Source organism: Homo sapiens, chromosome 2, assembly GCF_000001405.40.
Source record: "Homo sapiens chromosome 2, GRCh38.p14 Primary Assembly".
Classification (NCBI taxonomy): Eukaryota; Metazoa; Chordata; class Mammalia; order Primates; family Hominidae; genus Homo; species Homo sapiens.
This window is the reverse complement of record NC_000002.12, coordinates 102,032,797-102,045,916: the sequence shown is the minus strand read 5'-3', so window position 1 is coordinate 102,045,916 and position 13,120 is coordinate 102,032,797. Positions and strand designations below refer to the sequence as shown.

General features: G+C 44.3%; 1 long non-coding RNA gene across 1 annotated transcript, besides 1 other annotated feature; it reads right to left on the bottom strand.

Annotated features, from left to right (window-relative positions):
- Window positions 1-458: 458 nt before the first annotated feature.
- Window positions 459-3,491, bottom strand: LOC107985926 (uncharacterized). Its single transcript, XR_001739615.1, has 3 exons — window positions 2,828-3,491; window positions 2,153-2,266; window positions 459-1,943 (listed from the first exon to the last, which is right to left on the bottom strand). It is a non-coding gene; the product is annotated as an uncharacterized LOC107985926 (long non-coding RNA).
- Window positions 3,301-4,500: an enhancer, noted in NCBI's record as "CDK7 strongly-dependent group 2 enhancer chr2:102657879-102659078 (GRCh37/hg19 assembly coordinates)". NCBI's record gives its function as "activates an origin of replication core promoter dependent on BRD2, BRD4, P300/CBP, MED14 and CDK7 cofactors, with strong dependence on CDK7, by STARR-seq in HCT116 cells {active_cell/tissue: HCT116}" and the evidence as "EXISTENCE:reporter gene assay evidence [ECO:0000049][PMID:35650434]".

Below are 13,120 nucleotides of genomic sequence, written 5' to 3'. Positions count from 1 at the left end.
CTATTCAGGACAAGAGAGAGAGGCCGCGCCACCAGAAGGGAGAGGACAGAAGCCTGGCCAGAGGCAGCCACCATGGGGTCTTTGAGGGCTTTCTCTTTCCCCCACCCACAGCACCAACCAAAGCAGAGCTGTGAGCCCGGGGGAGAAAAAGGGGATGTGAAGTGGCCAACCCCCTACATCCACAAGCACACAGCAGTGAATCAAAAGAACTAGACCATGAGATTAAAACTTTAAGTGAACAAGAGCAAGTCTTATGAGAACACATGGACACAGTGAGGGGAACATCACACATGGGGGTCTGTCGGGGGAGTGGGGAGTAAGGGAAGGAAAGCATTAGGACAAATACTAATGCATGTGGGGCTTAAAACCTAGATGAGGGTTGATAGCTGCAGTAAACCACCATGGCACATGTATACCTATGTAACAAACCTGCATGTTCTGCACATGTATCCCAGAACTTAAAATTTTTTTAAAAAGTAAAATTTAAAAAGATCAGAACTAGAATGCTCTAATAACTCAACCTTTGTGAAAAGTTGTAAAAAATAGACCAAAGACTCGGTAGTGTGGTTCCCCCACACACCAAGTGGATAAGGGCATATCAGGAGACAGCTGGCTGTGGTTATATAAAAAACAAAATCACGGCAAGGCTTTGCTCCCAAAGATGCCTCACTAAATCAGTAACACAACTAGTGACAAAAAGTTTTTTTGCCCAACACTACATATATGACTACACAAACTTATAACTGAGGTCACAGGGAACTATCATGAGGGTGCCTGCAAGGCAAGTAAGCCATGATCTTATCCTGGACATCTTTGTGACCTGGACACCAATGCCTCCTGCTGAAACCCTCCCCCATCCTTGATGTGAGCTCTGCAAACCATCCCCTTGCCTTCCAAGCTTGCCTCTTTATTATTTTTCTATTTCAATAGTTTTAGGGGAACAGGTAGTTTTGGTTATATAGATAAGTTCTTCAGCAGTGATTTCTGAGATTCTGGTGCACCCGTCACCCGAGCAGTGTACACAGTACTCAATGTGTAGTGTTTTCTCCCTCTCCACCCTCCCACTCTTCCCCCTGATTCCCCAAAGTCTAGTATATCATTCTTATGCCTTTCAAGCCTGCCTCTTTAACTGTGGGCATTCCCCCAAGATTTTGTTCTACTTTCTGCTATACTTTCTCTCAGAAAGCATACCCATGATTATTGCTTTACTTACCAACCCCATATGGAGAGCTCCTCACCACAGGTGTGGCTTCTACTGCTTTCTATGCTTATGTTTATAGATGAACTCATAAGACTTGTGTCCACAGCTTAAAATTCAATGACAAGAAGGGAGCATGTTTTTACCTATGCGGGCAGATTCTTCAGATGCATTATTCAAAGTTCCAGGCATGCTAACAAACAGAGAAAAAGAGAGTTTCCCAAACTTCCAATGATTGCTAAATGTGTCTATAACAGAACTTAGTCCAAACAGCTGAACTTCAACCTAACATTTCAGCCTACATTAAACATGCTACATAGTCTGCTAAGAAGAGTAATACTGCAGTGACTACAGGAAATAGAAAGTGGTGGTCATGTTCCAGTCCTCCCTTCCTGAGTAACTAGCCCAGAACTTAGAAGTTTAACATTAAAAATATGTTATTTTACCTCAGAATTTTTTAGGTCAGGAATTTGGACAGGGCACAGCTGAGTGGTTCGTCTGTTCCATGTGGCATCAACAGAGTTGACTTGGTGGCACTGGACTAAAAGATGGTCTGGTCTGGAGGGGCTCTCATACATCTGGCACCTTGGCAAGGACAGCTGGAAGACTGGGGTCAGCTGAGACCCTCAACTGGAGCACTTACCTGGGATCTCTCCAGCATGGGAGCCTCAGAGTAGTTGGATACCTTCAATGGCCCCTCAGGACTCCAAGAGCAAGTGTTCCATTCAAGAGTTCCAGTTGCAAGCTGCAGGGATTCCCAGAAGTCCCAGAAAGTCACTTCTGTCTCATTCTATTGGTCAATCAAGTCACTAAGACCACCCCGCATTTAGGAAAAGAGGATTTAAACTCCATTTTTAAATGAAAGAAGTAGCAAAGAATTCATGGGCATCTTTAATCCACCACAGACTCTATTTTTATCCCTTTCACAATGTTATGCTTGGATTAAGTACTCACAGGGCCAGTTGGTTTGCTCTGTACATCATGTCACATCATATCTTCACTGCCCTCCAGTGACATAATAAATCTTAGTACTGTAGCAGAATCAGAGGTTCAACATCACCTTTAGGGCTGGAAGAATTAATGAATGTTAGAAAAAATATCATAGCAACATTGACATTAATATCCATTAGACAATTATGTTTTAATACATAGGGAAGAGGACAGCAAATTATGATGGTAAGAGTAAGAACTTTGCAATCACAATCCACCTAAGTTCAAGTCCCTGCTCTGTCAATTACCAGCCATGTAAATTTAAGCAAGGGACTGAAATTTTCTGATCCTTGGCTTTAAAATGAATACAACACCTGCAGTAGTTGTCTCAGGAACCCCTAATTCTTGAGCTATGTCCATTCCTTCAAGAAAAAAATTGTGGGAGAACTTGTATGTACTTTTGAGAAAGTCCTGGTGGACACGAACTCCATCAGCCACGGCAGGTGACCTCCGTAAGTCACCCTTAGCATGGTGTTTCCTTAAATGGAAACACCAATTAAGACTGGGCAGGGAGAATGGGCCAGTCTCCCTGCCCCCTTATCCTTGCTTCCTGGAATCACTTCCCCCATAAATTGCCTGCATCCAAGTCTTTACCTCAGGATCTACCTCCAGGAGAACAAAAACCAAGGGAATTCTTACCTTACAGGATTGTTCTAAGTGTAACATAAACTCCAAACATAGAAACTGCCAGGCGCAGAGCCTCGTACCTCATTGTCTCTCATTCATTCCCTGCCATTTTCATGGGTCCAGACCACTCATCTTTCCCTACACCTGGCCAGCCCTTTCCAGCCCTGCTCACTGCCCAGTCTGTTTCTCCTAATAGGATATCTCGCCCTCCTCTGAGGTGTTGAAATCTCACCCACCCTTAAACATCCTTCTCTGACCTCCCTGGGTGGGGGAAATCCCCTGGTTATACCCACTTACAGCAAACACAGCTCTCTCCTTCCCTACACTTTCCACAAGTTTACATTTTATCTGGGTCATTATATTATCTTTGTCTGTCTTCTTCATGAGATTTAAGCTCCCACAGGACAGGGGACAGGTCTGTATTCCCTAGCCAAGAAAGGAAAAATTACTATTTGTCGAATGAATGAATGAATGAATGAATACACAAGATGTTCTTTCACCTGTGATTTATGCACTGACCTTGTCCTCTTTCCTATTTGCCCTCCACCACTGACACACATGGCCACCCTGGACACCACTTCTCCCCTCCTGTGTTCCCACAGCATATTGTGGTAACTTGCATTGACTACATTCTCCTCTGTGATTCAGTTTAGATATTTTTGCTTATTTGGTTGTTTGTTTTTTTCTTTTTCTTTTGTTCTTTCTTCCTTCCTCCTTCCCTCTCCTTTCTTTCTTACTCTCTTTTTTTCCTTCCTTCTTCCTTTTTCCTTCCTTTCTTCCTTCTTCTCTGCTCTCATCTTTCTTTTTCTTTTTCTCCCTCTCTTTCTCCTCTCTCCCTCTCTCCTCTCTTCTCCTTTCTTTCTTCCTTCCTTTCTTTCTTTCTGAGAGTCTCAGCATAAAAGAATAAGCCACGTGCTCAACAGGAACTCAGGTATGTAAGTGTCAACCCACCCTGGGTCTTGGCTGACTGAGCACTCTGGGACTGTTGTACTGCATGTAGAGCTGACATTTTGCCTTACCCCAGATTCACCTCCTTTCCAAAATCAGGGAGCACTGGCTGCCCCTTATCCTTTAAAACAATATCCCCACTGGGGGAATAAGTTGCCCCAAGATAAGGAAAGGCAGGCCTGGGAACCAGATCACGGATCCTTGTTGCAGAGCAGAGGGACACATCTGAAGGCTCATGTGGCATGGCCATCCTGCTGTCTTTGAAGCATTTTGCTAGGTTCGTAGGAAGCTGGGACTGTAATTAATGAAAATTAGAAACCTTTTAAAAAGTCTGCACTAATGTATAGTAGAAAATTGAGTGCTTAAGACTGGGATGGCTCCCTTGGGACAGAGAAGCCCATATGGCAAATTCCAGTTGATGAAACATAAGCACAAGCCTTCAGGGAGCCCAGGGAAGGGCTTCCAGATACAGGTAAAAACGTGACTGATGTTTTGCTTTCCCTTCTGCATGCCAGGAATGTAGACACTATGTCTGACACTCCAACAATCATCTTGTGACCACGAGGAAAAGGCCAAACCAAAAGAGGCACTGACCCTGACATTGTTGATGTCCTCCAGTCCTGTGATGATGTCATGCCCACTCATTTCACAAGTTTTTGGAGAGGAAGGAAGCACTGTGCTGTCCACTGGTGTGTCTTTCCCAACCCTCACCAAGTGCAGCATCTCATAATAGCTGTTTAATAGATTTTTTAAATGAAATCTGCTTTTGAGATACAACAAAAAAGAAAACTTTAGGCCAATATCCTTGAAGACTATCAATGCAAAAATTCTCAACAAAACACTGGCAAACCAAATCCAGCAGCACGTCCAAAAGCTTATCCGCAATGATCGAATAGGCTTTATCCCCGGGATGCAAGGCTGATTCAACATATGCAAATCAATAAATGCAATACATCACATAAACAGAACTAAAGACAAAAACCACATGATTATCTCATAGACGCAGAAAAGGCTTTCAATAAAATTCAACATCCATTCATGTTAAAAACTCTCAGTAAACTAGGTATTGAAGGAACATACCTCAAAATAATAAGAGCATATATAACAAACCCACAGCCAACATCATACCAAATGGGCAAAAGCTGGAAGCATTCCCCCTGAAAACCAGCACAAGGATGCCCTCTGTCACCACTCCTATTCAACATAGCATTGGAAATTCTGGCCAGAGCAATCAGACGGAGTAAGAAATGAAGGGCATCCAAATGGAAAGAGAGGAAGTCAAACTATCCATTTGTGGATGACATGATCCAATATCTAGAAAACCCCATAGCCTCAGCCCAAAAGCTTCTTAAGCTGATAAACAAATTCAGCAAAATGTCAGGATACAAAAATCAATGTGCAAAAATCACCAGCATCCCCATACACCAACAACATTCAAGCTGAAAATCAAATCAACATAAACTCCCATTCACAATTGCCACAAAAAGACGAAAATGCCCAAGAATACAGCTGACCAGTGAGGTGGAAGATCTCTAAAAGGAGAACTACAAACCACTGCTCAAGGACATCAGAGATGCCAGGTGTGGTGGCTCACACCTGTAAACCCAGCACTTTGGGAGGCCGAGGCAGATAGATCAATTGAGGTCAGGAGTTCGAAACCAGCCTGGTCAACATGGGGAAATCTTGACTCTGCCAAAAATATAAAAATTAGCTTGGCATTGTGGTGTGCACTTGTAATCCTAGCTACTCAGCAGGCTGAGGCAGAAGAATCACTTGACCCCGGGAGGCAGAGGTTGCAATGAGCAGAGATTGCAACACTGCATTCCAGCATGGGGGACAGAGTGAGACTCTGTCAGAAAGAAAGAAAGGAAGGAAGAAAGAAAGAAAAGAAAGAAACTAAGAAAGAAAGAAAGAAGGAAGGAAGGAAAGAAAGGAGAAAGAAAGAAAGAAAGGAATCAGAGATGACACAAACAAATGGAAAAACATTCTATGCTCATGGATAAGAAGAATCAATATCATTAAAATGGCCAAACTGTCCAATGCAATTTATAGATTCAATGCTATGCCTATTAAACTGCCATTGACATTATTCACAGAACTAGAAAAAACTATTTTAAAATTCATATGGAATCCAAAAAAAGCCTGAATAGCCAAAACAATCCTAAGCAAAAAGAACGAAGCTGGAGGCATCACACTTCCCAACTTTGAACTATACTACAGGGCTACAACAACCAAAACGCATGGTACTGGTACAAAAACAGACACATAGATCAATTGAATAGAATAGAGCACCCAGAAATAAGACCATACACCTACAACTATTTGATCTTCAACAAACCTGACAAAAACAAGCAATGGAGAAAGGACTCCTTATTCAATAAATGGTGATGGAATAATGGCTAGCCATATGCAAATTAAAACTGGACCCCTTCCTTACACCATATACAAAAATTAACTCAAAATGGTTTAAAGAGTTAAATGTAAACCCCAAAACTACAAAAACCCTGGAAGACAACCTAGGCAATATCATTCAGGATATAGGCATGGGAAAACATTTTATGACAAAGATGCTAAAAGCAATTGCAACAAAAGCAAAAATTGACAAATTGAATCTAATTAAACTAAAGAGCTTCTGCACAGCAAAAGAAACTATCAACAGAGTAAACACACAATCTATAGAATGGGGGAAAAATTTTGAAAACTATGCATCTGACAGAGGTCTAATATCCAGCATCTATAAGGAACTTAAACAAATTTACAAGAAAAAACCAACCCCATAAAAAGTGGACAAAGGACATGAAAAGACACTTTTCAAAAGAAGATATACATGCAGTCAACAATCATATGAAAAAAGCTCAACATCACTGACTATTAGAGAAATGCAAACCAAAACCACAAGGAGATACCATCTCACACGAGTCAGAATGGCTATTATTAAAAAGCCAAGCACGGTGGCGGGCGCCTGTAGTCCCAGCTACTCAGGAGGCTGAGGCAGGAGAATGGCATGAACCCAGGAGGCGGAGCTTGCAGTGAGCCGAGAATGCGCCACTCGCCACTGCACTCCAGCCTGGGCGACAGAGGTGACAGAGCAAGACTCTGTCTCAAAAAAAAAAAAAAAAACCAGATGCTGGCGAGGTTGTGGAGAAAAAGGAATACTTATACACAGTTGGTAGGAGTGTAAATTAGTTCAATCATTGTGGAAGACTGCATGGCAATTCCTCAAAGACCTAAAGACAGAAATACCACTCAACCCAGCAACCACTTTATTGGGTACATTCGCAGAGGAGCATAAATCATTCTGTTATAAAGATACATGCACCCATTATGTTCATTGCAACACTATTCACAACAGCAAAGACATGGAATCAACCTAAATACCCATCAATGACAGACTGAAAAAAATGTGGTACATTTACAGCATGGAAAATTATGCAACCACAAAAAAGAACAAGATCATATCCGTCGCAGGAACATGGATGGAGCTGGAGGCCGTTATCCTTAGCAAACTAACACAGGAACAAAAAACCAAATACCACATGTTATCACTTGTAAGTGGGAGCTCAATGATGAGAACACATGAACACATAGAGGGGAACAACACACAATGGGGCCTATCAAAGGGTGGAGGATGGGAGGAGGATGAGGATCAGGAAAAATAACTAATGCGTACTAGGCTTAATACCTGGGTGATGAAATAATCTTTACAACAAACCCCCATGACACAAGTTTGCCTATGTAACAAACCTGCACATGTACCCCTGAATTTAAAATAAAAGTTTAAAAAAAATCTGCTTTTAAGCTAGAAGAAATTGAGAAAATGCTGGGCTATTGGAGAAAAATTGTGATTTAGTTAAAAGTTTTGGTGTAGGTATTGTCAGTTGGCATGAGAAAGTCAAGAAACTCGTGCCCTCCCAAAGCCACCCCACCCTACTACCAGATTGTCTGTATTTCAGGGATGGGGGTGCAGAGAAAAGGGAAGCTGAAGGTAACCCCTTCATAAATTTTCTCCCTTGAAAGATTGACATTTCAAGTGTGTTACAGAAAAGTTTTAGCTAAAGGGTTAAACGAAGAAGAAAGAGGAGAAATACATATACAAAATGCGCTGGTCAGACCATGAGAAGTCTTATCGGGATCCTTTATCTCCATGAGGTGTCTGAAATCAACCCAGCCTTTTGACTTTGAAGATACGTCTCCTGAGTTTCCCCAGGATGGACAAAGCTGAGGAAAAGCTGACTCAGAAAGACAAGGCAGGTCCAAGTGTTTGCCGAGAAAAATGCACTCAGCACTCTACATAATTCCCAAAGGACTTTCTTCTAAAAATATTTTTATTAGAGTCTGAAATAATTTAATCACAGACTTGTATTTAGTCAGAGCTCAGCAAGTACTCCGTGCCGAACAGCGATATTCTTTCAGGCTTTTAAACAGGAAACTGAATCCAGAGAGCAGAAAACACAGAACCGTGCCCATGATGACTTGGAAAAGTTACCCTCTGCTCACACCAAACTCCCAAGTGTCCCCTATTTCATTGGGAACACATTAAGGATGAAACTAAAGGGGAGAACTTGAGGGTTCTTTTCCCAGTGAGATAAAGGAGCTCAAGGCTGGAGTGCCATTGACAGCCTGGCAGCAGGCAATCTTAAAGAGGAAGAAGACTGGTAACTGAGCAGGAGGGAATGATTCCTGGGCTACTAGTCAAATCTTCTCCTTAGATTACAGGGAAGACCTTCCTTGTTAGCTGTGAGAACATCCCACCGCCGACGGATACCAAGCACCAACGTATTTCATCCATTCATTCATTTGACATGTCTTTGACATTGGGAAACCTGTAGACCTCGGCTTTCCAAACAGCATCGATCAGGCTGGATTCCTCTGAGGGATCCAGGGGAACACATGGATAGTTAAACAGACCACTGGGGGAAAACACTGGGACACGGACACGCCAGGAATAAGTACTGAACTTCCTAGATGGACGTGGAGGTGTTGGACAGGGACTTTGCCTTGCTTGTCTTTAAAATCAGAAACAGAGGGTGTTTTGGCAAGTCTAAATTTACTGATTTTAAAGCTCCCACAAGGAAGACCCACATGAGACAAAAATCTAGAGGAGTATGCTAGGATAAAGCAGTAAGTGAATGAATGAATTTCTGGTACAAAAAGCAAAGGGCCGGGAGTACCAGACCACAGGTGTTAGAAAGAAAAGAAGTCAAACCAGGGGTTCCAGCCCATGCCACTCATTAGAATCCCCCAGGACCCCAATCACTTACAGCAGAGGCCCTGGGCATGGGTCCAGACACCAGTGGCATTGTTGTTTCACCTCTCTAGATGATCCCAGTCTGCCGCTGAGGACCCACGCTTAACTGGTACACAGTCACTCGAGGCATACCTCTCCACTTCCAAAAAATATCTATGCAACAGAAACACCATACAGCATCTTGAACATTGAAAAGCCGAGGAAGAGAATTGCATACTGAGGAGTACATGGCAAGAAGGTCATTCTCACCCAGGGGTGGAAGCACTTTGAGTGATCTGCTGAGGGTCATTTTGCACCTGGAGTGCGGCTGGGGAAGAGCCCTCTTCTCAGAAAAGGTGCAGAGGCCTAGAAAGTTCCATACCAGGAGGTCATGGTCCCTGTCGCCTTGAGGACAACAGAGTGGGGAAGCTCTGTCACTAAGACAGAAGCCAAATCATCATGGGCTTACGGGAAAAACACAGTGAGAAGCTCCGAATATGCTAGATGGGGAAGAAAGTCTCCAAAAAAGGACTGGAGCCTGGGAGACTGGGGAGCTACCCCTGAAGATTATTCAAGAAAGCCCAGGGTCCCAAATGCTGAGATAAGATGCACGGTGAAATTTCCCCTAGATGTGACAAAGGTGGTACTGTCACTAATTCCTGCTGGAATAATTGGCCAAAGAGAGCTAACATTCCCAAGTCATGGGTTCTAGACCTAACCATAGAAATCGAGGTGCTCCCACTGACAGCAGGAGTAAGAATGTCCTGGAGGGCTTGCGGAACGAGGATACTGGGCCACCCTGTGGCTCTAATCAGCAGAGGGATGCTGATGATACTGGACTGAGGTCCACCTGCATCCCCCATTCTTTCCCCTGATATCTCCGAACTGCTGCTGTGGTCACTGTTACTGCTGGGTATGGATTCCTGGGAGCAACATTTGTCCAGAAAAACTGCTCCAGGGACCAGAGAATGGCTTGTCTTAAAATTCATTGCAGGTGGGGTCAGGGCTGTGCTGATCTTGTATAAATGCCTGGGACACATTAAAAGGGGACATGCGAGGCCAATGCAATGCCCTAAGGAGCCACACCCTTCCTTGCAGAAGACGGAAGACAGCCTTGACTGCAGTCCCCTCTCCTGGATGGAGCAGCCTCTTTGCTGGGATGGAGCAAGAAGGAGCTGTGGAGAAACTCAGGCTTTAATTTTAAAATTTTTGAGGCTTAGTGTACATCCTTTTTAGATATTGCCCAGGCTACAAATGTAAGACTACATTTCTATGCGGCACTAAGCTTTTGCTGCTAACGCTTCTAAGGTTTTATGGCAGTTGTTTTACCATGCTTCATAAAGGATATTTGGTATTCTTGAGAGAATAAAATAAAATAAAATTGGGAGCATATTTATTTTGTTGGCTGTTTACTTTTGGCCACTTAATTTCTGTGCAGAGCTTCTGATGAGCTGTAGCAGACAAGGCAGGATGTAATTGTGTTGTAGGACCTTTGTCCTTAGTTCAGCTAACAGCCAGGTTCTTGTCACATGGCCATGAGAAATTAGGCTTGCAGATACTTTGAAGGGTGAGACAAGTGGAATTTATTGGGCAAAAAGGGGGGAAAAAAGAGAAACAGGGACCCTCCGCAAAGGCAGAGCACTGCTAGTGTGCTTCCCGCCTCGCAGATTGAATCCCTGGTTCCACCCAGGAAGAGGACGAGCCAGGCTCCTCCCCGCCGCAAAAGGCTTGAACTTCCCAAGTCTCCACCCCAGTGCGCAGGCCTATTGGAGTTTTTCCGGCAACCCCTTTGCACTTGGCTGTCCCAGTTGTATTAACCATGTGTTTCTGATGCTTTGGTACGTGGGACCTTGTTGCTTTGATACCTGGGCCTTTCCCTGGTTTAGCCAATTCCTAGAGATAGTAAACAACTTGCCTACTTCTGCAACATGCTTTTCAAATGCAAATCGACCAATCCAGAGCCACACCCCAACCACCTCTTTTATGGAACTCTCACCCTCAGGGTCACTATCCACACCCAGTGAGGGACAGCCCATGCACCAAGAGCCCAAGGAAACCATTCAAACCAGCCAATCCTAAGCCTGCCTACCCTGCCTCACCCACTCCTTCCCACAGAAACCATCGGAAGAGCTCTCGCCCACACCTTCCCCTCACTCCCTCAGCCTCCTGATCGGCCCTAGTGCTTCTCTGGGCACCCTCCCAACCGCCATGGTGTGGTGTGCCCCTCCTGCTGGGATCTGGGGGATACCACTGTATTTTCAATGGCTATTGTCTCCTGATCTGTTGGCCTCACCAAACCTGAATAATAAAGCCTATATTTGAAAACAGCAATTTGGGGTGGGAAATATAACAAGGTGAACAGTCAGCCTGAGGTATAGTATGGCTTTGAGACTAATTTAATTCACAGACTGTTCTTAGCTGTTTCTGTGCTTTCTGGGGGCTAAATCCACATTGTCCCTGCAGTGGGCTCAGAAGGATCCAGGGACTCACACTCTTATTTCCTGAGAGAGTAGCCTCAGACCCAGCGGCAGGACTGCACGCTGGACGCCTCACCTCCATCCAGTAGGACAGTGACGCCTTGATTGGTCACAGGCCACAGGCTAAGAGAACAAAAAGCTGGGAAATACTGTAGGAGAGGACACTCGGTTCCTACTTCTGATTCTTCCTTCCCTGTGAAGGAATCCTTATTACAGTCCCCCTGGTCCCCCAGATTCCAGATGTACCTTCTACCGGTTTCGGGAGATGAACTCTTTGTGGTAGCTAGTCTTCCCCTAGAAAAGCAAATATTTGCTCTGCTCCTGACTGTAACCTTGACTCAAACCAGCCCCTGCATGGGCCAGCTGTTTCTCAGCTGTCGAATCCTGGGATTCGGTATTAAGAAGCCCATTGCTGCTGCACATCTAAACCACACTCTCTAGGAGGTAATTTTTAAATTAGGTGAGCTTCAGTTTCCTTACCTCTAAAATGTGAATTATAATCTTTGCCTGGTGGATTTTTTTTTTTTTTTTTTTGAGGATTCAATTGAGCAAAACATGTAAAATCTTGCACAATGTAGACATTTAGATGTTGGTTTCTCCTCCTTCATTCTTGCTTTATTTCTCCCACTCTTTTTTATCTAAAGCTTTCTCTCCCCTTGTCCTGGAAGCTGGCTGAGTAGTAGTTCCTGGCCCCTGAAGCTCGGCCTCCACCAGGGGTCTGGTAGCTGTCTGGGCAGTTTCTGAAAAACCACTGGGCAGTGGGTTCTGGGAGTTCCTTTGTAGGAGGTTTTGTTTTGCTTTGCTTTTCTGAAGAATGAGGAAGTGGGTTTTGCAGGCATGCCAAGGAGGAGGAGAATGTGCTGGTGCCTGAGCCCTGTGGGAGGGAGCTTTCTAGCCCACCACCCCTGCTTTGAGGACTGGCTGAACCCATGAGCCAAGAAAGGAGGAGCTTTCAGGAGTGCACAAGCTGGCTCCAGCACGGAAGCTGGCAGAGGCTACAGCCCAGGTGGCGTCTGGATGGCTTCTCCACTGGTGGCAATGCCTTCTTGGAGCCCAGTAGCAGTAACGAGTAGCCCTGATGGGTGGCATGGGCAGAGATGCCAATGGGTGAGGACCGCAAGAACAGGAAAGCAACCACAAAACACAAAGCACCTTTGTGTGTCCAAGTGAACTATTGGCAGGACATCATGGAAAAAACCAATGAGAGTTGAGTGTAGAGACAGGAGCAGAGAAACTTAGCTGAGTCCCACTGATAAGACCCATTTGCTCACACAGGCTGGAAAAGTCCAAGTGACACACGCTGTATCCATTCTGCAGACACTTCTTAAATGCCTGTGCCGCAGCAAGACACCGTGCCCGGTGCTGGGGTGCATCAAGGAACGAGAAGGCTCCTGCCTTGAGGAACTTACAAGAAACAAACATCCCACCCTTTCTGTGAAAGAGTCCCTATATATTCCCATAGCATTCAAAATACTTGAGAGATCACATTTGTTTTTTAGCTCATAAATTATTCTTGGCTTCTGTTGTTGATGTCTGCTCTCATCCTTAGTTCTTGCAGAAGTGGCATTTATTACATAAGACGTGGGTTTTTCCTGTGGGCAGTGCATGGAAGTGTGAGGTTTCCAAAAACTATTTATCACCCCCTCTCCCCAG